The following is a 25,696-nucleotide window of genomic DNA, read 5'->3' as shown; positions in this document are numbered from 1 at the left end:
CTCTGACTTCCCAGCCTCCGGGACTGTGAGCAATAAATTTCTGTTGTTTACAAATCACCCAGTCTATGGTCATTTGTTATAGCAGCCTGAACTAAGTTATTTACTGCTTGAAGTAAGCATCACTATTAGTAAACACAACATTTTTAACCTAGTACCAGCTACCTCTGATCTGTGTAGACAGAGCCCCAAAGGGAAGTGATTTCAATAGGTGGTTCTTATCCTTAACTCTCTGAATGTTTCAGTAACACGGAAGCATCACGCCTAGAAAAAAGGTGATAAGGAAGTATACCATTATAGTAACAGTGGTTAGTGCTGGGTTGTGGGATACAGATGATTTATATTTACTTAATTTTTTTCAGTGTTTGTACATTTAGCATGTATAATTTTCATCATCAAAAAATTTAAATCTAAAAATAATGGCGGAAAAGTAATACTTGAGCTCTTGCCATATGCCAAACAACTTTAAAAACTCTTGATATGCATTAACCCATTAAATGTTCCCGATGACTTTGTGAATTAGGTACTGTCTTAGTCTGTTCGGGCTGCTATAACAAGGTACCAAAGACTGAGTGGCTTATAAACAATAGCAATGAATTGCTTACAGTCTTCGAGGCTGGGAAGTCCAAGATTAAGGAACTGGCAGATTCAGTGACTGGTGAGGGCTGCTTCCTGGCTCATTGTAGGCTGTCTTTTCACTGTGTCCTCACATGGTGGAAGGAGGAGAGGAACTCTCTGGGGTCTCTTTTATCAGGGCACTAACCCCACTTATGAGGGCCCTACCCTCATGTCCTAATCTTTCCAAAGGCCCCACCTCCTAATACCATCACCTTGAGTGTTAGGATTTTAACATACACATTTTAGGAGGACACAAACATTCCATTTATTGCAGGTACTATTATCTCTGTTTTCCACATGAGGAAACTGAAGCACAGACAGGCTAAATTACTTGCCCTGCCTGGCCATCATGGCGAAACCCCATCTCTACTGTTAATAAAAATACAAAAATTAGTTGAATGTGGTGGTACACACCTGTAATCCCAGCTACTTGGGTGGCTGAAACATGAGAATCACTTGAACCCAGGAGGCAGAGTTTGCAGTGAGCCAGGATTGAGTCACTACACTCCAGCCTGGGTGACACTCTGTCTCAAAAAAAAAAAAAAAAGTTGTTGTATCTGTTGACCCTGCACTGAGGTGAGAGGATTGCTTGAGCCCGGGAGTTTGAGACCAGCCTAGGCAACATAGCGATACCTCTTCTCTACGCATAATATTTAAAAATAAAATAAAAATTAGGTGTCTCTTTAAAAGGTCCCTGGTCTCATCTGCCATTCAACAAGCCAGTCCATCTTTAAATCTGTTGAATGTGTCCTTTTAACAATTATGGTGTTCAGTTGTGTTATTCTTGGCACTGTTCTGTACTTTACTACTGACAGTTTCAGTAATTTTATATCATCTACCAACCCTACTGGTATTATTGTTGTGTGCCTGTTTGTATTCTTTAGCTTTTATGATAGCTGATTTTATGCTTTTATCTTTTTTCCTTCTTTGTAACTGGATGGTATGACAGGGTCAATTTATGATTCATATGTCTTATCTTTTTGACTGGGGAGATATTAATAACTTGCTTTATCAGAATGTGCTTTCAGAATTCAGCGAATTTGTCACTGGAGCAGATGGTAAATCAAACTGCTTGGCTGTGGGCCAGAATGTATTATTAATACATGTATATATGTATGTGTCAACCAATGAGGGCTTCATAACCAACCCTGATGTTGGGTGGCTTGTGCTTAGGTGATTTCTTGAGCTTTCTTTTGGTTGATGATTTCCTGCTGTCTCTCTTATTTTCTTAGTACATAAATATATAAAAACTTATATTTTATAAAAATGCCTTGAGGACTGAGATTTTTGTTTTTGTTGGCTGATTTCAACCCACTGGGTTGGCTCTTTTTCTTTATCTTCTTTTAGCATTTTTACCTTCTTCCTCATTTTTCCTGTACGTTTTGGGAGAGCTGTGTAGTGTATCATCTGTTTTCATTCCTGATTCATATTTTTGCACTGTCACAGACCTCTTTCAGACCTTATAGTGGCTAGGTTTAATTTGATATGTGTAGCTTTTTCTTGTACCCTTTGCTGCACTGAGTTTCTACTTTTATCTCTCCTTCATAAAACACTCCAATTATAATACAGTACAATATTTTAAATTAAGTTAAAACCCACCTCAATTTTGACAGTGAGCAAAGAAGAAAAAAAAAGCCATAGCATAGCAGTTATCCTGTGGTCTCACTTTCTCTTCCTTGTTTAGACTTGGAGTTAGTTTGGGTGTATTTGAAACCTTTCTGCAGTGATGCACTTTCTGAAACATATGGCCTAGGGTCTGCCAGTGGTGTATTTATTGTTCTTTTTCACCTTTTGGTATAGACCTGAGATATTCTAGTGGGAAAAGAAAGGAGTCTGCTCTTCTTAAAACTCTGCTGCCTCAAGGGTGGAGCCTATTAACCACTGCCAAAAGTTTAGATGAATTTAAAGTTTAATATAAGATGACTCCTGATTGTTAAAAAAAAAAAATTATGCTAACTGCTGATAATCTTGCCTTTCGGCATATGTATAATATTTGACTTTTGAGAGAGAGATTCGATTTTGGTTAAACCCCAAATTAGATATCAATATTGAGGATCATTCATATTTTTATAATGTGTTTATTCTTCAGTTTAAAAAATTGTGTTAAACTGGGCACGGTGGCTCATGCCTATAATCCCAGCACTTTGGGAGGCCAAGGTGGGTGGATCACCTGAGGTTGGGAGTTCGAGACCAGCCTGACCAACATGGAGAAACTCCGTCTCAACTAAAAATACAGAATTATCCGGTGGTATGCATGCTTGTAATCCCAGCTACTCGGGAGGCTAAGGGAGGAGAATCGCCTGAGCCCAGGAGGCTGAGGTTGCGGTCAGCCGAGATCGTGCCATTGCACTCCAGCCTAGGCGGTAAGAGCGAAACTGTCTCAAAAAACAAACAAATTGTGTTAAAATATATATGATATAAAATTTACCATCTTGATGGTTTAAAAATGTTCAGTCATAAGTACATTCACGTACATTGTACAACCAGCCTCCAGAACTCTTTTCATCTTGCAGAGCTGAAATTGTACCTGTTAAACCACAGCTACCTATTTCCCCCTGCCGCAGCTGCTGGCAGCCATCATTCTACTGTCTGTATGATTTTGACTATTCCGAGTACCTCATATACAGGGAATCATACAGTATTTGTCTTTATGTGACTGTTTTATTTCACTTATCATAATGTCTTTAAGATATATATATCCATGTTGTAGCATATGACAGAATTTCCTTCCTTTTTAAGGATGAATGGTATTCCATTGTTTGTATATATATCACGTTCAAAAAATCCATTCAGCCGGGCGCGGTGGCTCACGCCTGTAATCCCAGCACTTTGGGAGGCTGAGGCGGGTGGATCACAAGGTCAGGAGATCGAGACCATGCTGGCTAACACTGTGAAACCCTGTCTGTACTAAAAATACAAAAAAATAGCCGGGCGTGTGGCGGGCGCCTGTAGTCCCAGCTTCTCGGGAGGCTGAGACGGGAGAATGGTGGCGTGAACCCGGAAGGCGGAGCTTGCAGTGAGATCGCACCACTGCACTCCAGCCTGGGCGACACTGCAAGACTCCGTCTCAAAAAAAAAAAAAAAATCCATTCATCTGTTGATGGACATTTGCATTGCTTCCTTGTTTTACCTATTGTGAATGATGGTACCATGACATCATGGATATGCAAATATCTCTTTGAGACCCTGCTTTTAATTCTTTTGGATATATTAGGCAGAAATGGAATTGCTGGATTATATGGTAATTGTATTTTTAATTTTTTGAGGCACCACTGTACTGTTTTCTACAGCAGCTGCACCATTTTACATTCCCGCCAATAGGGCACGAGGGTTCCAATTTCTCCACATCCTCACCAACACTGATTTTCTATTGTTTGTTTTTCATAGTAGCCATTCTAATAGGTGTGAGGCAGTATTTCATTGTAGTTTTGATTTGCATTTACCTAATGATGAGTGATGTTGATTATCTTTTCATGTGCTTCTTCAGAAAAATAAATGTCTGTTCAAGTCCTTTGCTCATTTTTCCATTTTTGAATTGGGTCTTTTTTTTTTTTTTTTTTTTTTTTTGAGACAGATTCTCGCTCTGTCACCTAGGCTGGAGTGCAGTGGCATGATCTTAGCTCACTGCAACCTCTGCCTCCCAGGCTCAAGTGATTCTCCTGCCTCAGCCTCCCAAGTAGCTGGAATATAGGCAACTCACCACCACACCCAGCTAATTTTTTGTATTTTTAGTAGAGACAGGGTTTCACCATGTTGGCTAGGCTGGCCTTGAACTCCTGACCTCAGGTGATCCACCCGCCTTGGCCTCCCAAAGTGCTAGGATTACAGGCGTGAGCCACCATGCCCAGCCCAATTGGGTTGTATTTTGTTGTTGAGTTTTGGGAGTTCTCTAAATAGTCTGGATCCGTGAGAGAAAATACTTTCTTCTGTTCTTTGGGTTGCCTTTTTACTCTAATACTGTCCTTTCTCTCTTTTTTTTTTTTTTTTTTGAGACGGAGTTTCGCTCTTGTTGCCCAGGCTGGAGTGCAGTGGTGCAATCTTGGCTCATCGCAACCTCCACCTCCCAGGTTCAAGCGATTGTCCTGCTTCAGCCTCCTGAGTAGCTGGGATTACAGATATGACACCACGCCTGGCTAATTTTTGTATTTTTGTAGAGATGCGGTTTCACCATGTGGGCCAGGCTGATCTTGAACTCCTGACCTCAAGTAATCCTCCTGCCTCTGCCTCCCAAAGTGCTGAGATTACAGGCATGAGCCACCACGCCTGGCCTGTTAATATTGTCTTTTGATGCACGACATTTTTAATTTTCATGGAGTCCAATTTGCCAATTTTTTCTTTTACTGCCTGTGCCTTTGGTGTCATATCCAAGAAACCATGGTTAAATCCAGTGTCTTGAAACTTTTCCCGTGTTTTCTTCTAAGAGTTTTGTGCTTTGGTCTTTGAACCATTTAAAGTTAGTTTTTGTGTCGGTGTTAGGTAAGGGTCCAATTTATTTTTTTTGTATGTAGATATTCAGTTTTCCCAGCATCATTTGTTGGAAAAATTGTCCTTTTCCCATCGAACTGTCTCGTCACAAAATTGTTTGACCATATATTCGAGGGTTTATTTCTGGACTATCTGATTTCATAGGTCTATATACCTGTCTTTATGACAGTACCACGTTGTTGTTATTACTGTAGCTTTGTAGTAAGTTTTGAAACCAGGAAGTATGAGTCCTCCAATTTTATGCTACATTTTCTTTTTTTTTTTTTTTGAGACAGAGTCTCGCTCTGTTGCCCAGGCTGGAGTGCAGTGGTGCGATCTCGGCTCACTGCAAGCTCCGCCTCCCGGGTTCACGCCATTCTTCTGCCTCAGCCTCCTGAGTGGTTGGGACTACAGGCGCCTGCCACCACGCCCGGCTAATTTTGTGTATTTTTAGTAGTGACGGGGTTTCACCGTGTTAGCCAGGATGGTCTCAATCTCCTGACCTCGTGATCCGCCCGCCCCAGCCTCCCAAAGTGCTGGGATTACAGGCGTGAGCCACCGCACCTGGCCTTATGCTTCATTTTCAAGATTGCTTTGGCTATTTGGGGTCCCTTGAGATTCCATATGACTCTTAGGATGAGTTTTCCTATTTCTGCAAAGAATGTCAAAGAATGTCATTGGGATTTTCGTAGGGTTTGCATCGAATATATAGATTGCTTTGGGTAGTTTTGATATCTTCATAATATTAAATCTTCCAAATCATGAACATGGGATGTGTTTTCATTTATTTATCTTCTTTTAATTTCTAGCAGTGTTTTATACTTTCCATTGTACAAGTCTTTTACCACCTTAATTCCCAAGTATTTTTTCTTTTTGATGCTATTGTAAATGGACTTATTTTTATAATTTCATTTTCATTATTTTTTTGTTTTGTTTTCTTTTTTTGAGACAGAGTGTGACTGTTGCCCAGACTGAAGTTCAGTGGCGTGATCTTGGCTCACTGCAACCTCCGCCTCTTGGGTTCAGGCGATTCTCCTGCCTCTGGAAATGTCTTAATTTTTCCCACACTTTTGAAGGACAGTTTGCTAGATATAGGATTCTGGATTGACAGTTATTTTTATTTTTTAGCACTTTGAAGATATCAGCTCCCTGTCTTCTGGCCTCCAAAGTTTCTGATGAGAAATTTGCTGATAACCTTATTGAAGATTCCTTATATATGATCAGTTGCTTCTGTCTTGCTGCTGTCAAGATTCTGTCTTTGAAAAGTTATAAAGTGTCTCAGTAAACATCTTATTTGGAATTTGTCAAGCTTCTTGGATGTTTATATACATTTCTTCTATCATATTTGTGAAATTTTCAACCATTATTTCTTCAGATACTGTCCCTTCTCCTTTTTCTCTCTCCCCTCTCCTTACTACCACAGTGCACATGTTGGTCCGTTTGATGGTGTCCTGCATGTCCCTTAAGCTCTGTTTACTTTCCTTCCATCTTTTTTCTGTTCCTTGGACTTGATCATTTCCATTCTCCTATCTTCTAGTTTGCCAGTTCTCTCTTGTGCTTGCTCAAATTTGCCTTTGAACCCCTCTAGTGAACTTTTAATTTCAGTTATTGTACTTTTCAGCTCCAGAATTTCTTTTTGGTTTCTTTTTTTTTTTTTTTTTTTTCTATCACCCAGGCTGGAGTGCAGTGGCGTGGTCTTTGCTCACTGCAACCTCCGCCTCCTGGGTTCAAGTAATTCTCCATGCCTCAGTCTCTGAGTAGCTGAGATTGGGATTACAAGCGCCCGCCACCACACCCAGCTAGTTTTTGTATTTTTAGTAAAGATGGAGTTTCAACATGTTGGCTAGACTGGTCTTGAACTCCTGACCTCAGGTGACCTGCCCGCCTCAGCCTCCCAAAGTGCTGGGATTACAGGCATGAACCATCATGCCCTGCCACTTTTTGGCTTCTTTTTAAGTTTTCTATCTCTGTACTGGATACTTCTATTTTGTTCATACATCTTTTTTTTTTTTTTTTTTTTTTTTTTTTTTTTTTTTTTACTTTCTCCACATCTTTCTTTAAGTTCTCTGAGCATCTATAAGATGATTACTTTAAAGTCTTTGTCATCCAGGCATGGTGGCTCATGCCTGTAATGCCAGCAGCTTGGAAGGCTGAGGCAGGTGGATCATTTGAGCCCAGGACTTCAAGACAAGCTTGGACAACATGGCCTGTAGTCTCAGCTACTCTGGAGGCTAAGGCAGGAGAATCCCTTGAACCCAAGAGGTGGAGGTTACAGTGAGCTGAGATCGTGCCACTGCACTCCGACCTGGCGATAGAGCAAGACTGTCTCAGAAAAAAAAAAAAAAAAATTAGCCTGGTATGGTGGCACAAGCCTGTAATCCTGGCTACTCAGGAGGCTGAAGCACAGGAATCGCTTGAATCCAGGAGCCTGAGGTTGCGCTGAATTGAGATTGCACCACAGCAGTCCTGCCTGGGTGACAGAGCTAGACTCTGTCTAAAAAAAAAAAAAAAGAAATGAAAAAAGGGATAAAGTCTTTTTCTAGTAGATCTGTCATCATGTCTTTTTTAGGAGCAGTTTCTGTTGATGTATTTTTTCCCTCTGAAGGGATCATACCACCCTGTTTCTTTATATGCCTTGTGATTTTTTTTGTTGTTGTTGAAAACTAGGCATTTGCATGTAATAATGTGGTAACTCTGGACATCGAATTCTTCTCCTACCCTGGGGGTTGCTGTTTTTGTTATTTATTTATTTATTTTTTAATTACTGTAGGCTGTCTCCATGCCAAAGATCAGCCTGAGAGAGGTGTAAACTTAAAGTCTTTATAGATCTTTCCTGAGCTTGAGCCTTTTCCTGGGCATGTGTGATTATTTTCTAATTGTCCTCACAAATCCAGTTGTTTTTAAATGTCCAATTTTTTCTTTTGAAGAGACAAAGTCTTCCTGTGTTTCCCAGTCTAGTTTTGACCTCCTGGGATGAACTGATCCACCTGCCTCAGCCTCCTTAGTAGTTAGGACTAAAGACACGCTCTACCACACCTGGCTGAAGGTCCAAGTTTTTAACATCTGGCTTACAAAAGGGGGTCAAAAGAAAAATGAAGGGAGGAAAAACAGGATGCTGGCTTTTGAAGTCCCCTGGAAGTCACTTCAGCCAGGACAAGAGGCTTGCAACAACATGGGGAGGAGCAACAGCAATGACCACCACTTCGTCTGTGCCTCTTAGAAGAAGCAGTTGGTGATCAGAGGACAGATCCTGGATGTTTGGAGAACAAGGCCCTTTTTGCCTACCCTGGCTGCATCAGGCTGTTCCAGGAATGCTGCACAGCTGCCTGCTAGGCACTAAGGGATAGGTAGCTGAAATTGATTGAAATTAACCACATTTTGTCATCCAAGCCTTCCCCTGGGAGTTGCAAGCCTTTATTGGACTCCAGAGTTCCCAAATACTTACATCAGACAGAGTCTGCCAGTGCAGTTGTCGTCTAGGTGGGGAGATGGATTCCTGGTGCTTCCTACTCCACTATCCTCCCAGAATCCTTTGTGTCTAATGTGTTTTTAAGATATTTTCTTACCTTTTAAACTACCTCTGGAAGGCTGGGTGCAGTGGCTCATGCCTATAATCCCAGCACTTTGGGAGGCCAAGGCAGGTGGAACACCTGAGGTCAGGAGTTTGAGACCAGCCTGGCCAACATGGTGAAACCCAGTTTCTACTGAAAATACCAAAGTCAGTTGAGCATGTTGGTGCGTGCCTGTAATCCCAGCTACTTGGAAGACTGAGGCAGGAGAATCCCTTGAACCCAGGAGGTGAAGGTTGCAGTGAGCTGAGATCGCGCCAGTGCACTTCAGCCTGGGTGGCAGAGTGAGACTTGGTCTCAAAAAAAATAAAAATAAATACATACATAACTAAAATACCTCTGGAAAAGTTAATGTACTTTTGTTTGTTGACAGGCTATCATTTGCTGCTGCCATTTTGCAACCCCTGGCAACTCAAGAACTATAAGTAACTATTTTGAAATATATAAACCCAATAATGGGTTTAATTTATATAGCTGAGGCTTTTTTCAGTACCATCTTAAAGGTTTTTGTTGTTGTTGTTGTTTTATTTACTTTTGTCCAGATGACACACAATAATTTTTGGTTGAAGAAGATAGAAATCAGTGTTTCAGAAGCAGAAAAACGAACTGGAAGAAATGCCATGAACATGCAAGAAACATATACTGCTTACCTCATTGAAACAAGGTGGGTAACAGAAATTACACCTGGGCAGGTAGACAGAAAGCTTTTTCTGATAGCTATTGATGCAGACTCTGCTGTATAACAGAATTTTTTAAAGGTTATTTTTTTTTTCGGGATTGACTTTGTTTCTTTACTTTTTTTTGAGACAGGGTCTCATTCTGTTGCCTGGGCTGGAGTGCAGTGGTGTAGTCATGGCTCACTGCAGCCTCAAACTCCTGGGGTCACCTCAGTTTCCTGAGTAGCTGGCATACAGGCGTGAGCCACCATGGCTGGCTTTTTTTTTTTTTTTTTTTGAGATGGAGTCTCACTCTTTCGCCCAGGCTAGAATGCAGTGGCATGATCTTGGCTCACTGCAATCTCTGTCTCCCGGATTCAAGCGATTCTCCTGCCTTAGCCTCCCAAGTAGCTGGGATTACAGGCATGTGCTACCACACCCAGCTAATTTTTTTGTGTTTTTAGTAGAGACAGGGTTTCACCGTGTTGGTCAGGCTGGTCTCAAACTCCTGATCTCAAACGATCCACCCGCCTCGGCCTCCCAAAGTGTTCGGATTACAAGTGTGAGCCACTGTGTCTGGCAGTTTTAAAATTTTTTGTAGAGATGGGGTCTCACTCTGTTGCTCAGTCTGGTCTCAAACTCCTGGGCTCAAGTGATACTCCTGCCTCAGCCTCCCAAAATGCTGGGATTACTCGTGTGAGCCACTGCATCCAGCCCTGTGTCTTTATCTTTTAATGGGTAAACAGCTGTATCTTTTGCTGTGATACTCTTGGTAGATAGCTATATTTTAATGAATTTATTTTGTGGGGAGAGGGGAGGTTAGTGGAATACTTTTGGAATCTGGAATAAATAACATGTATCAAATAACGATACATGCTTTGGAGGATTCCTTGGTCTTAGAATCCCTGTGCAATTCTGTAAAAGAATACCAGGTTCTCTGGCATGTAGAAGTGAACTTGGGCAGGTGGAAATGGTTAACAAAGAATTCTAGGAGTAGAGAATAAGGTCTGAATCCTCTTAGGACAGTTGGGAGTTACAAAAAATTAACAAACAGAAACATTGAGATTGGTGCTTTAGAACTTGGAGTAAATTAAGAATAAAGGGAAGTAGACACCTTTAAAAAACAAAGAAAAAGAACTTGGTGAGTAAAAATAGAAAAGACAAATTATGGAGTAGGAAATAAAAACTCACCAGAAAAGTTGTCTTTTACCTCCTAAGGGAAAAGCTAAAGGAATTAGAGTTGTTTTGTCTAAAGAAAGGCAAGGGAAGACTCAATTTGTTGTTGTCAGTTATTAACAATTTATATAAAGAATAGTGTACTATTTCTTTTCTGTCTGCAGAGATTGAGCAGAAATGCTTTCAATTAAAACAAATAGATATGAGAGAATTGTTGATAGCCGGTAAAATTATAGACTACCAAACCTAGCTGGGCGTGGTGGCTCATGCCTGTAATCTCCGCACTTTGGGAGGCCAAGGCAGGCAGATCACCTGAGGTCAGGAGTTTGAGACCACCCTGGCCAACATGGCGAAACCCCGTCTCTACTAAAAATATGAAAATTAGCCAGGTGTGGTAGTCCCAGCTACTCGGGAGGCTGAGGCAGGAGAATCACTTGAACCTGGGAGGTGGAGATTGCAGTAAGCTGAGATTGCCACTGCACTCCAGCCTGGGTGACAGAGCGAGAGGCTGTCTCAAAAAAAGAAAAAAAAAAAAAACTACCAAACCAAGTTAAGTGTTATAACAATGTTTTAATGTTAATACTTTTTTTTTTTTTTTTTTGAGATGGAGTCTCACTCTGTCACCCAGGCTAGAGTGCGGTGGCGCGATCTCGGCTCACTGCAAACCCTGCCTCCCGAGTTCAAGTGATTCACCTGCCTTAGCCTCCCAAGTAGCTGGTATTACAGGCGCCCGTCACCATGTAGTTTTAGTAGAGATGGGGTTTCACCATGTTGGCCAGACTGGTCTCGAATTTCTGACCTCGTGATCCACCCACCTCGGCCTCCCAAAGTGCTGGGATTACAGGCACGAGCCACCGCATCCGGCCAATGTTAATACTTTTTTAAGAAAAAAAATTTTAACCTACCATTTTCATAGGCTTTACCTGTGAGCTTGCCTTAGTGCTGAACCCTGTGACTTTTCAAGGCTTCTTCCAGGTCTGTGTTTCTGCCTAAAATAAAAGTTTAAATCTTGGTGAAGATTGTCTACAGACAATTCTGAAAATTTAGTTTTCCTTCTACCAGAAAGAAAGAAAAAGAGAGAAAAGAATCTTCTAAAAAAAAAAAAGAAAGAAAATTTTTATACAGTAAGAAGTTTAGGAAATGAGAGAGGTAATGTGGTTCTTTTCAAACTTAGGTCATTTCATGACATATGTATGTTTATGTATCCCAGAGATTTGTAAGGTTATTTTTTAAAGATCATGGCCCTGTGAGAGGATTTTTGTTTCTGTTTTTTTGTTTTTTAAGTTAAATTAGCCACTTTAAAAATAATACTTTAGAAAACAGTGTTAGCTGTAGCCTTCTAAGTAAATTTTAAGTTTACAATGAAAAAGGATATATTTAGTATATGCCTGTTTTTTCACCCACATAGGTATTGATTACTTTTACTGCTAGGAGAGAACCTTGATTTGGATAATCTGGAATAACTTAATAATGTTTGTACTTGACTTTGAAATAAATAAAGGATCATTGTTTTCTTCTGTAGCCCAGTTCTAATTTGAACCTGGGAGTTAGAAGTGACCATACATCAGTAATAGCTAGACTGTGAATACATATTTAAGTAGATCATCAATAAATGTGTGGCACACAAAAGGATTATTGAGTCAACTTTCACAACTATATTTCAATATAAATTTATTTTAAAACATGGATTTTATACTTAAAAACATGTTGGAATTACTTGAAAAATTGGTTAAACAACTGCAGGATTTGGGGTAGGGCCCAGGATTTTACATTTTTTATTTAAAGGTCCAGCTGCTTTCAGTACAGATGGGCGATGGACCTTTTTTTTTTTTTTTAAGGTGGAGTCTCGCTCTGTCACCCAGGCTGGAATGCCGTGACATGATCTTGACTCACTGCAACCTCCTCTTCCCAGGTTCAAGTGATTCTCCCACCTCAGCTTCCCAAGTAGCTGGGATTACAGACTTGCACCACCACACCCAGCTGATTTTTGTATTTTTAGTAGAGATGGGGTTTTGCCATGTTGGCCAGGCTGGTCTTGAACTCCTGACCTCAGGTGATCTGCCTGCCTTGGCCTCCTCCCAAAGTGCTGGAATTACAGGTGTGAGCCAATGTGCCCAGCTGGACCATGATTTTGATTGTTGTCTTTTAAACTACAAAGGCTTTCCATTTTAAGACAGGTTTATCTGTCTTTTCTCTTTATGATTTATGTTTTTTCTGTTTTAAGAAATTCTTCCCTACTCCACATCATATAGACATGGGATTTGAGAAATACTGATTTTGAATAGATTGTTTTATACTATCCCTAAGGTTAACTGACCTTCATCAACCGCAATCATCAAATTTCTTAATTTAATTATGTAGTATTGTTTCTGTAATTCAGTGTTTTGCAGACAGTTGTGGACAATATGAATATTATTGACCCTTCATGTTAACTAGAAATTCAACTTCTGTCATGTAGCTTACCTACCTACCTACCTTCTGGATACAAGTAGAAAGCCCATTTAGCAACTGTCTGTAGTCCAATTGTCGAGAGGGTTTTGTTTCTGTAATTTTTTTTTTTTTTGTAAATTAGCCACCTAAAAAATACTTTAAAAATTAGTGTTAACTCTAGCTTCCAAAGTAAATTCTTTTTTTTTTTTTTTTTTTTTTTTTTTTGAGACGGAGTCTTGCTCTGTCGCCCAGGCTGGAGTGCAGTGGCACGATCTCAGCTCATTGCAACCTCCACCCTCTGGGGTTCACACCATTCTGCCTCAGCCTCCCGAGTAGCTGGGACTACAGGCGCGCAACACCACGCCTGGGTAATTTTTTGTATTTTTTAGTAGAAACGGGGTTTCACTGTGTTAGCCAGGATCGTCTTGATCTTCTGAGCTCGTGATCCACCCTCCTCGGCCTCCCAAAGTGCTGGGATTACAGGCATGAGCCACTGCGCCTGGCCAGTAAATTCTTAAGTTTAAAGTTAAACAGGATATTTTTGATATGTGCCTATTCTATAGTGTTATAGTTTAGTGGGCTAAGATTGAATAAAACTAAAGTCCCTGGTTTTTAATTCCCCAAGAGATTTTTGTATGTGTTCTTCTTCATTGAATAGGAACTCTTTTAAAATAAATATATGTCTCTTTTAGAATAGGTAGTAATGCCTTGATGGCTTGGAAGGCAGTATGTTATTAATTCTTTTAATTTGTAAAACATGGTTAATGATCATATTTTCATTGTGGGGGTTAAATATTACAAGTAAAACCATTTAGGTACTATTGAATAGTTGTTGAGTGATTAGATAAATGAGGTAGTTTTGGGGTCTAATGAAAGTCTTCTCTGTGCTTTTAGTCAGTTTATAATGAAACTACTAGACCCTGCCTTTTTGGGTTTTTTTTTTTGGTGTTTGTTTGTTTTTCTTGAGATGGAGTTTCGCTCTTGTTGCCCAGGCTGGAGTGCGTTGGCGCGATCTCAGCTCAGTGCAACCTCTGCCTCCCGGGTTCAAGCAATTCTCCTGTCTCAGCCTCCTGGGTAGCTGGGATTACAGGCACCTGCCACCACGCCCAGATAATTTTTTGTATTTTTAGTAGAGACGGGGTTTCACCATGTTCGCCAGGCTGGTCTCAAACTCCTGATCCACCCACCTTGACCTCCCAAAGTGCTGGGATTACAGGCGTGAGCCACCGCATCCAACCGCGTTTTTTTTTTTTTTTTTTTTTAAACACTTATGCAGACCTTCTATCAGCCCTGTAGGTGTACTGCTTATAGGCTTTATTTATCCACTTATTTACAAGTTTTGGGTTTTGTTGGTAGTGATTTTGAATAATTTGAAACTTGAGATTAACCCAAGTATTTTTCAGCTGAAGTTGGGCATTGTAATTGGGATAGTATTAGTTATAACTAATGTCTAGGTATACTCTTTAAAATGAATTATGATTTAATAATTCTATTTTTTTGCCATGGGAGCCATTTGTGAATTTTGCATTTCATATTTTGGTTCATTTTTATTAATATGCAATGAATAAATTTAGTAGCAAACTTAAAAAATGATAAAAATGAGCATCTATTGTGCTGAGCATGGCATGATGTAAATACTTTCTCTAGACTATTTGGAGACTGATTTAAGTTCTGTGACTTTTTGTCCTAATGTACAAATACACCTTGTGCATTTCATGGAGGGCAAACAGGTTATTGTCAAGCAAATTAGAAAATAGCAAGGTCCTGATAATGTTTAGAAGACTGGTGCTTCCTAATAGGTCTTACTTATGCTGGCAAGAAATCCTAAGTAGTCAAAATATTTAAAATATCCTTTATATGATTTTACCTTAACTTTCTGCCAAAAGTAAATTGAACTTTTGTATGTATGAGACATGGCATTGCCTACCAGCCCTTTATAATTAAAAGTAAGACTGGAGATGAATTTTTATGACCCCTCTTCGCCACTCTTTCAGAGCTAACTAATATTTTGTTCTTTTGGATATTTCTTGGTACTTGGATTAATCTGATTTATTAATAACCTAAATTGAAGTTTTTGTGGTGTCTTGGTCTTTGTTGTGAATGTTATTCTCTCATTTTGGCAGAAGTGAAGTTAAAAATGCTTTTTATTTAATGAAACACTAGCTAAACTAGATTTTATCATATTATAAAATCAATTATTTATGCATTAAGGCTTTTAGAGTGTTCCTAATAAAACTGTTTCTCTTATGTTTAAACAGGCTTTCTGTAACAGAAAGAAAGTGGTTAGGAGTAAGGGCTTTGAAATCAGATGGATCTGAGTGCTTTATCCACAGACCTTTGTGATCATAGGCAGAGCATATACTGTGCAGCTGTGTCCTCATCTGTAAAATGAGGATAATAAATCTCTGCCTCACAGGGTTGTCATAAGGATTAAATATGAAAATACATGAGGCCAAGGCAGGAGGATGGCTTAAGCCCAGGAGTTTGACACCAGCCTGGGCAACATAGCTGGACCCCATCTTTACAAAAAATTAAAGTATTAGCCAATGTGGTGACATGTGCCTGTGGTCCCAGCTACTCAGGAGGCTGAGGTGGGAGGATTGCCTGAGCCCAGGAGGCGAAGGCTGCAGTAAGTGGTGATTGCACCACTGCACTCCAACCTGAGCGACAGTGGGACCCTGTCTTGAAAAAAAAGAAAAATGTATGAAAAGTTCTTTACTTAGTGCCTGGTTCATAATCATTCTGTAGTTATAATTTTAAAGGTGATTGTATTTATGTGTATGTATTTTTGTTTATAAAAAATAACAAGTGTTGTTCTGTTCCTTTTCAGGTCAGTTGAACATACCGATGGTCAGAGTGTCCTAACAGACTCACTATGGCGGCGATATAGTGAATTTGAGTTGTTGAGAAGCTACCTTTTAGTTTACTATCCACATATTGTTGTGCCACCTCTGCCAGAAAAACGGGTAAGAAGTGAAATGGCAGTAGTTTAGAAGTATTCAGCATTGAGACTATTCTTAATGATTATTTTGTTTACCTAGGCAGAATTTGTTTGGCATAAACTCTCTGCTGACAACATGGATCCAGATTTTGTGGAGAGGCGACGGATTGGTTTAGAAAACTTTCTCTTGAGGATTGCTTCACATCCCATCCTTTGTAGAGACAAAATCTTCTATCTGTTTTTAACACAGGTATTTTTCTTTTATTTAGTCTTAGTAAAATATTCATTTAATTTGGGTTTCTTAAAAAAATTGTAGAATACTTATTTTAAGGATCTTTTCATTAATTTATATGCAATTTATTTTTTGTTATGAATTTCTAATTAATGGATTATGTCATTCTTTTGGTTAACTTTTTCTATTTAAAGATACTGATGATGGTATTTTTGGTATCATTTAAATAATATTAAAATTTGTCTTCAGTATTTTGAAGCCCAGATCTATAAAATCTTGGGTTCACCTTTGGTAATCTTTTAGAAGTTGGATTGAATGTTTAATTTTGAAGTGAAAAGAAATTTTTTTAAACTTCTCTCTCCAATTCCTGCTGAAGTAAGAACAGAATGATAGAAATTTAATTTACTTAATTTGGAATATTTGCTTTGCAATAATGATTTCTAAAATTAACTTCAATTTTTAGGAAGGTAACTGGAAGGAGACTGTGAATGAAACTGGGTTTCAGCTGAAGGTAAGAATATTTATATGAAATTTGCCATGTTCCTTTACAGTTCCCAGCATGGTGCCATGCACTCATTGGGAACTTGGTATTTATTGAATAAATGAATGTTGGAAATCGTCTTACAATAAATATCATTGGTAAGGTTTTCAAAGAAACACTACAATTCACTTTTGATTTGTGTAATTTTAGTTACTTATGAGACTATAATGGGCAAATTTATTCTACAGGGAAAGAACATTTTGTAACAGTGAATTTTTTTTTTTTTTTTTTAGTTAGTGTTTATAGTAATGAAGCAGTAATTTAAATACAAGTTGTAGATTTTCCCCAGTGTACTAGTATTATACCTTGCCTCTTTTTTTCTTCTGTCCTGTTTCCATTCGTATCCCTGCCCCCGACAGTTGCTCACTCTATCACATATGAAAGAGTCCAACCTTAGCAGTCTAAAAGATAAGCCCTTAGTCATGCTTCTTCTGTCTGTTGAGACATGGTGGTCAGTTTGAAATGGGGACAAAGGAGTCATTTTTAAATAGTTCTAAGTTTTATCTGTTAGTGGTACAGGATTATTTAGTTTTTGTAACAGCTTTTTAAATTTAGTCATTAGAATTAGTGTTTGGGAATGAGATGATGATCTGAAAATCAAGGAGCATTAGTAGTGGTAAGCTGGACACTTGAGTTCTATGCTGCTGTTTATTTCTTCCCTAAAAGAAATACAACAAAGGTTATTACAAACTTTTTAAAGTTTTCATCTCTGGTGTAAACTGAATAGGTAAGTAGACTAACAGAATATAAATTGATATATAACATAATATAAATTGTTCAATGACTCACATGATAATACAGTACCAAAAGTTCAATATAATATGTCTAGACAAGAAGAAGAAAATTTTTTTACAGTAATTTAAAAAACACTTCCCATGCATTGGCCCATAGATATTTGAAATTTGGCACAAAACAGACTAGAAGGAGGAAAATTTTTTTCTGCAGAGAAAATATGATAAACCAGTTCTGTCATAAACTGATTCTAATTTATAAATATTTTGGAGTTTTTATGATTTTGAGACAGAGTCTTGCTCTGTCACCCAGGCCAGAGTGCAGTGGTGTGATCATGGCTCACTGCAGCCTTGAACTCCTGGACTCAAGCGATCCGCCTGCCTCAGCCTCCCAAGTAGCTGAGACTACAGGCGCGTGCCACCATACCTAGCTAATTTTAAAATTTTTCTTTTGTAGAGATGAGGTCTCACTATGTTGCCCAGGCTAGTTTCGAACTCCTGGGCTCAATCGATTCTCTCTCCTCAGCCTCCCGAAGTGCTAGTTTTACTGTGCCTAGCTATAAATATTTAGTTGACAGTTCTACTGAAACAATTAGAATTTTCTTGGCTGTAATTCATCACTTTATAACACTCAGAGAGAATGGTAGAATTTGAGTTTAGGGATGGATCTGAAATAACTTGGAAGTTTAAAAACCGATTTATGTTTAGATAGAGTTTTCTGAAAAATAGTTTGATATGTTAAAAGCTAACAAGGAAAAGATTAAAATACAATCATTTTAGTGAATTCTCTTTATATAACAAAAAATTTAAAAATTCTAGTCATTAAGTCTTTACTGCAGTTAATAGTTATCAGTTTTTGTCTTTGAATACAGTTTTTGGCCGTAACTTTAGTGATTCTGAGAAAACTCTGGAGTTTCTCCATCATTATAAAATTGCTATTTACCAGTGCCTTGAATCTTATGTGTAGGTGCTGCTTAAGTATTTAGATAGAATGTTTCATTGTGGGGGAGCCTTATGTATTGTACTTTTGAAAAGTATTTGAAAGGTAATATCAGTATACAGAATTAATAATTCAAAACATCAGACTTCTAATGTAGTGAGCCAGAAATAAAATTGATGGAGAGAATTCGGAAACCCATGTGTCTCTCTGTATTCCTTATTTTGTTGTGGATGTTTCTTGTTTTAAGTCCTTCCTCCCATCAGGGAAATGGGACCTTTTTGCATAGCCTCATATACATGTGTACATCATACAAATGTCCACAATCATATGTAAATAACATACGTGTGTGTGTGTGTATGTGTATATATATATATATATATATATATATAAAGAGAGAATGAGTGTATCACATTTCACTTATCTGGAGGTCATATGTTTGGCAGTTACAGCTAATCTGATCACAGTTGAAAGCTGGGACTTAAGCAAAACTGACTTCTGAGATGTTCAAGGGGATGTAACATGGCTTCCTGCTATACTTTACTACTATACTTTGGTCTTCCTGTAGCAGACCCATTAATTTTATTATAGGTATTCAGACAAATTTTGCTGTTTTTTAGGTTACAGCCTATTTTAGCAGAGGATTAAAAAGTGAGTGGAGACAGGCACATTGTGACAGTAGTGACAATTGACAGCTGAGCCTGATAGCGGAAAAGGAGGTAGCAGTGGTATGTGAGTCACACATCGCAGAATGGGTACATTTGGCGTGAGGCAAAATCCCTACCCACCTGTAACCCCTAGGACTTCACTGTATCATAGATGAGTTCAGTATTAATTGTTTGTAATGGTTAACTGGAGGCCTCAAGAAAAAGTAGAATTTTGCTTGTGCACTCTTAATTCAGTATGTGGTCAGCGGACTGCATGTAACTCAGTTGATGGGATTGTTTGTTCAAAATACTGAATTCATCCCAGACGTACATCCCATTAGCCTAAAACTTGACAACTGTTGCTATAAGGCGATAAAGAAAACTATTTTCAGGAAGATAATTTGAGAAAGATTGTCAAAAACGGTAAAAAAGAAGAAAACTTTTTTTAGAATCTAAAACAGTTTCTTATCTGAGTATTACCATAATCATATATGCTTACTATGTGCTAAGCACTATACTATAATTATACTATGTTTATTTTGCTCAATATTGCCTCAGTACCTTTGAGGTGAGTTAATATTCCCATTTTTTAGATGAGGAACTCTAGAATGTGACTTAGCCAAGGTCACATAATTACAAGTGATAGAGGCTGAATCCAAGTCTAGACTAACTGAAAGCCCTCCTTAATTACCATCCCATATTACCTCTCTTGCTTATTAATTATATAATTAATATTTGCAGAGATGGTTGTTAAAGGAAGTGTTGAAAGCTTTATTTCTGTGAACATGAGGTCATTCTGAATGAGACCAAATAGTCATATCTTATAAGAATATTTGACCTTGGCTCTTGGATTGTTGTCCTCAAATTGAAATGTTATCTTACTTTAATTTTCCTTTTCTCAGACATATTTTGTCTGTAGTTTTGGCGTACTAGATTAATATTTTCTTTTTTTTTTTTTTGAGATGGAGTCTTGCTCTGTCGCCCCGGCTGGAGTGCAGTGGTGCAATCTCTGCTCACTACAAGCTCCGCCTTCCGGGTTCACGCCATTCTCCTGCCTCAGCCTCCTGAGTAGCTGGGACTACAGGCGCTCACCACCATGCCTGACTAATTTTTTGTTTTGTATTTTTTAGTAGAGACGGGGTTTCACCATGTTAGCCAGGATGGTCTCGATCTCCTGACCTTGTGATCTGCCCGCCTCAGCCTCCCAAAGTGCTGGGATTACAGGCGTGAGCCACTGTTGCCTGGCTGGCAATATTTTCGTAAGATTTTTGAGAGTGATTATTACACCCAGAAAGATAATCATAAAATTTAGTTTCTTTTTTTCTTTCTTTTTTTTTTTTTTGACACGGAGTCTCGCTCTGTCACTTAGGCTGGAGTGCCGTGGTGTGATCTCGGTTCACTGCAAGCTCCACCTCCCCAGCTCAAGCCATTCTCCCACCTCAGCCTCCCGAGTAGTTGAGACTACAGGCGCCCACCACCATGCCCGGGTAATTTTTCTGTATTTTTAGTAGAGATAGGGTTTCACCGTGTTAGCCAGGATGGTCTTGATCTCTTGACCTCGTGATCCATCTGCCTCAGCCTCCCAAAGTGCTGGGATTACAGGTGTGAGCCACCACGCCTGGCCAAAGTTTAGTTTCTTTTTATCTGTGTTCTATTTAACATAAGCATGAGCAACCAGTTTTTTCATCATTACTGGTTATTGACATTTCTCCTTTTTAGGGGGGTGGAATATTTATATAAATACTCAATCTGGGCTTGGTGGCATGTTCCTATAGTTCTAGCTACTTGGGAAGCTGAGGCAGGAGGATCACTTTAGCCCAGGAGTTTGAGACCAGACTGGGTAACATAGCAAGACTCTGTTTCTATTTAAAAATAAATACATACACAAAATATAAATACTCATTTTACTTAATTCAGTGAAAGAAGAGCAAAGGGTTTATCCCTAGAGTAATGAACATACAAACTAGTTGCTTTAGTATAAAAGTAACGTTTTAACTCAGTTAACATAGTTAGTCATGAAAGCATTGTTCTGAATACCCAATCCTTAAATGAATTTAGGCTGATTCATAAGAACCCTGGACCCTGCCTCTTCCTTGGGGCAAGGACTACCAGAGCCAAGGTCTGGGCCCTTAGTTAGGATCTCTGTTAATCTTGTTATTGCACAGGAACTCTGAGAGATCCAATGTGGAGATTCCAAATGCTGGTGCCTACAGTGTGAGGTACTCTTCTAAGCGTTGTGGATACAGTAGTGAATGAGCTGGAAATACTCATAAACTCTGTGTTATTGTGGAGCTTATATTTTAGTGATTGGAGACATTAAGTTAGCATTTAAATAAAAAATAAGATACTTTAAAATAGTGATAAGTAGTATAAAGGACATAAAGCATCGTCCTTGTTGGGGAATATGACAGCAGGGATTATTTTTCAGGGGTTACCCTAAGATGAGTGACCATAAAGTTTATTATCCAAATGGGACCCCTTTAGAGAGGAAATAGGGACATTTAAGATGGGGACCACATGTTGTGTTCCAGCCTGGGTGACGGAGCAAGACTCTGTCTTGAAAAAAAAAAAGATTAGGACAACAGTTATAAACCAGGACTCTCCTGGGCAAACCAGGCCACATGGTCACCCTCCTTTAAAAAGCTTACATTTGAGCTGAGACATTAGTGATGATAAGAAACCTGCAGTGAAGTCACCAGAGGCCAAGGAAGAGGAATGCTCCTTCAGAGGGAGGCCCAGACTGGGTGTGCTTTACTAGGTAATGTGTGCGGGAAGATAAAGCAGGTAAAAGTGTTGCCACAGCAGCCTTTGTACAGTCCAAGGGCCACCTTCACACTGTGCCTTTTTATGGCTCTTATATTCTTTTTTTTTTTTTTTTTTTTTTTTTTGAGATGGAGTCTTTCTCTGTCACCCAGGCTGGAGTGCGGTGGCGCGATCTCGGCTCACTGCAAACTCTGCCTCACGGGTTCAAGCGATTCTCCTGCCTCAGCCTCCTGAGTAGCTGGGATTACAGGCATGTGCCACCACACCTGGCTAATTTTTTATATTTTTAGTAGAGACAGGGTTTCGCCATATTGGCCAGGCTGGTTTAAAACTCCTGACCTCGTGATCCACCCGCCTCAGCCTCCCAAAGTGCTGGGATTACAGGCATAAGCCACCGTGCCCGGCTTATGGCTCTTATATTCTTAACGGACAGCCAAGAATCAAGTGAACAAGATGATTTCAGATAATGCTGTTTTAAAGGAAGTAAAATAGGATCATAGGAAACAATAATGAATTAAGGGGCATCTTTAGGTGTTGAATGGGGAATCTGATTAGGTGGGCGATAACCTATCAGATTTGGAACAGTCCAGGTAGTTTTTCAGAGATCCAGCGGTTTGGTGACATTTTAGTCAGCTTCCTCTTTTTTATGTAATCTTGTGAAATGAGCAGATTGAGTTGGGTGTGGAGATGGACCTGATCTGACAAAACATTTGGTTAGCAAAGGTTAGAATGGTGACCCTTTACATTTATATGACTTTTAAAAAATTGGTAAATTGGTGACTTTAAAAGTAAAAAATAAATTGCTGGTGTTAAAAAGCATGAGATTCAAGAAAAGATACAAATGAATATTTTTTTCTTAGTGTTTTATGTAGTTTCATCCTCATTTAAAGAATCACATTTTGCATGTGACTGAAGTCATGAACACTTACAAGAGCCTTTGGTTTTTAGTGATTTTTAATGTATACCTTAAATTCATAGGTGTTTTTATTTATAAGGACTTTGATGTATATTAGCTAATTTTTCCTTGAGATGTAAGAAGGATCCAGAATTTGTGAAATACTGATTTTAGAAATAGGAGAATTCCATAAGAGAATTCCCTAAAATCAAAATAAACTACTTTAGATATTCTTTAGATAGCCCTTTAAATCTCTTTTGGTCTGGAGTTCTAGGAGGCTGAACTTGTGAGTAGTATATTTGTTATATTTGTTTTTATTTTCTTAGCCAAGTAACCTGGGAAGCCTTAGTAATATTTTTGTTTTGTTTGTTTATTCATTAACAGTATTTGTAATTATGGTTCGGAAGTTGTAATAGTGTAAAATTTTCAAGGTGGGATTTTAAAAACCAGACCACATTTAGAAATTGATTCCTGATTGAGCTACCTTTTATGAACCCTAATAGTTCTTCTACCTTGGTTAGAAAAGTTGTTTGGTTGTCTTTTTTTTTTTGTTTTTTTAATGAGAATTTAGGACAGGACAGGATTTGGATGTGTTACGTATACATTTTATGCAGTGAAATTATTATTTAGTATTTATCCCTCAGTTTCTTCTTTGAGAGTAATTATCTAGAAATAAGTGAAGAAAATAGTTAAAAAGTTGTGTTGTCTTACAACATTTTCTGCTAGCTAGAAAGTAATTGCTGTAATCTAGCTTGTTTTATTTAGTAGAGTGTTACTTAGTACATGTATTTCTTTTTTTTTTTTTTTTTTTTTGGAGACAGAGTCTCACTCTGTCGCCCAGGCTGGAGTGCCGTGGCACGATCTCGGCTCACTGCAAGCTCCGCCTCCCGGGTTCACGCCATTCTCCTGCCTCAGCCTCTCCGGAGTAGCTGGGACTACAGGCACGCGCCACCACGCCTGGCTAATTTTTTGTATTTTTAGTAGAGACAGCGTTTCACCGTGGTCTCGATCTCCTGACCTCGTGCTCCGCCTGCCTCGGCCTCCCAAAGTGCTGGGATTACAAGCGTGAGCCACCGCGCCCGGCCTAGTACATGTGTTTCTATATTCTTTCTTCTAAAATATAGATTATGAAAATGAGAAAAACCAATGTACATTTGCTTTGGAACTACCCTCAGTAGATGCAGACTCTAAAGCAGTAGTTTCTTTTTTGAGATGGAGTCTCTCTCTGTCGTCCAGGCTGGAGTGCAGTGGCATGATCTCAATTCACTGCAACCTCCGCCTCCCAGGTTCAAGCGACTCTCCTGCCTCAGACTCCCGAGTAGCTGGTATTACAGGCACGCGCCATCACACCCAGTTAATTTTTTTGTATTTTTAGTAGAGATGGGGGTTTCATCATGTTGGCCAGGCTGGTCTCAAACTCCTGACCTCAAGTGATCCTCCTGTCTCGGCCTTCCAAAGTGCTGGGATCACAGGCATGAGCCACTGTGCCCGGCCATGAAAGCAGTAGTTGCATTTAGTTTATATATACGTATCATTGCCTTTCTTGGCCTAGAGAAAAACTACTGTTTTCACATGACCTCTTCCGAATTCTAATAATGCAGAGCTATATGCCTGTTCGTGTATTGGTTGGTGTGTACAGTTGTTTTACTTTGGTACCATTGAATGCCATGTATTCAGTCTATTTTATAGTATGTTTTTGTAGTGTTTTCAAAAATAATTACTAAGCTATTTTTTTAGGCATGTTTAATGTGTTTACAACAATTGATATGAAGAAAACTGTACTTGAGCATCTTAATTCTAAAGGGAAAGTAAAATTGTTTGAATTTTATACCCTGAAATGTAATTGTATTAAGTGAACAAATTATTTTTTCCAGGCAGACTCCAGGTTAAAAGCGCTTAATGCAACATTCAGAGTGAAAAACCCAGACAAGTAAGGTTTTGTTTTAATAACAGTTACAATGTTGTTTTGAATGGTGCTATCAATCTATTTAATTTTTCATTTCTGAATGTATGCACTTTATTTGCTAAATAGTTTACATATTCACATTTAGTGAAATCCTTTTAAAGTCTAAAACTGAATTTGAAATTTGATAACTTGATTGGGGGTATGATTGTGACTGAAGTTTTATAAAATTAAACCATTGCTTTTTTCTAGAAGGGTTTGTTAAGTGTTGCAGATATCAGAAAAATGAGAAAAGTAATTTTAATTTTATAGTTTTCCTTATATGATTTTGCTTGTTAAATATGCACAGCTCAAGATAAGAAAATTATATACTTTTTACATATACTTAATAATGAACCGTCTAGTTTGTATACCAAGAAAATTTCACGAAGGTATATGACAAATACTTGATTTTATTAATATCAGCTAGTATTTGTGAGAGCATTTCCATATTAAAAGAAGCCAGTGTATTCAGAAATTACTTAACATGGGGTGGGACCTATGTATTTAAGATTTTGGTTTTGCTTAATCTTTAAATTTGGTGGATAATTCAAACTCTACATTATATGGACCTTTACTTGGCAATTTGGTTCAGTTAGAGTTTTTTAATTGGATATGTGCTTAGGCAGATGAGGCTTTTTTGTTTTGGAGGACCAAATTTATGAGATCTGTTAGAATTTCTCTAGTGAATCCTTCAGCACTAATTTCTACATTGTGTAAATTCTTATCAGACAAAGGTGGGGTCTGCATATTCTGATGACCTATTATGCCTGACTTTATAAACCATAACATATTAACAAAATGCCCCTGATTTTTCATATAAATTTTGAATATAAAATCTAAATGAATATTTTTAAATTTTGGTAATTAGGAGGTTGTGATGGTAACTTGAGTTTTTTCATTTTCATTTTTTTATTTTTTGAGGCAGAGACTTGCTCTGTCGCCCAGGCTGGAGTGTAGTGGCGTGATCCCTGCTCACTGCAACCTCTGCCTCCCGGGTTCAATCAATTCTCCTGCCTCCGCCTCCCGAGTAGCTAGGATTATAGGCACCCCCTACAACGCCCAGTTAATTTTCGTATTTTAGTAGAGATGGGGTTTTGCCGTGTTAGCCAGGCTGGTCTCAAACTCCTGACTTCAAGCAATCCACCCGCCTTGGC

At 38.7% G+C, this 25,696-nt stretch overlaps 1 protein-coding gene across 3 annotated transcripts in view, besides 1 other annotated feature; it reads left to right on the top strand.

Moving 5' to 3' along the window:
- SNX4 (sorting nexin 4) overlaps positions 1-25,696 on the top strand; it is a 73,553-nt gene that overhangs the window by 6,268 nt on the left and 41,589 nt on the right. For 2 of the 3 annotated variants that reach the window (NM_003794.4, XM_017007414.3), the window contains exons 2-6: positions 9,191-9,312; positions 15,741-15,876; positions 15,952-16,101; positions 16,547-16,594; positions 24,472-24,527. In NM_003794.4, the coding sequence (NP_003785.1) occupies positions 9,191-9,312; positions 15,741-15,876; positions 15,952-16,101; positions 16,547-16,594; positions 24,472-24,527 (512 nt within the window). The remainder of the gene's footprint in view (positions 1-9,190; positions 9,313-15,740; positions 15,877-15,951; positions 16,102-16,546; positions 16,595-24,471; positions 24,528-25,696) is intronic. The other variant, NR_073435.2, reaches the window with a different exon arrangement.
- Positions 2,369-2,418: an enhancer, noted in NCBI's record as "active region_20430". NCBI's record gives its function as "activates an Ori minimal core promoter by ATAC-STARR-seq in GM12878 lymphoblastoid cells {active_cell/tissue: GM12878}" and the evidence as "EXISTENCE:reporter gene assay evidence [ECO:0000049][PMID:35858748]".

This window comes from Homo sapiens, chromosome 3 (genome assembly GCF_000001405.40).
Source record: "Homo sapiens chromosome 3, GRCh38.p14 Primary Assembly".
Lineage (NCBI taxonomy): Eukaryota > Metazoa > Chordata > Mammalia > Primates > Hominidae > Homo > Homo sapiens.
The sequence above is the reverse complement of the archived record's forward strand: the minus strand, read 5'-3'. Positions and strand labels throughout refer to the sequence as shown.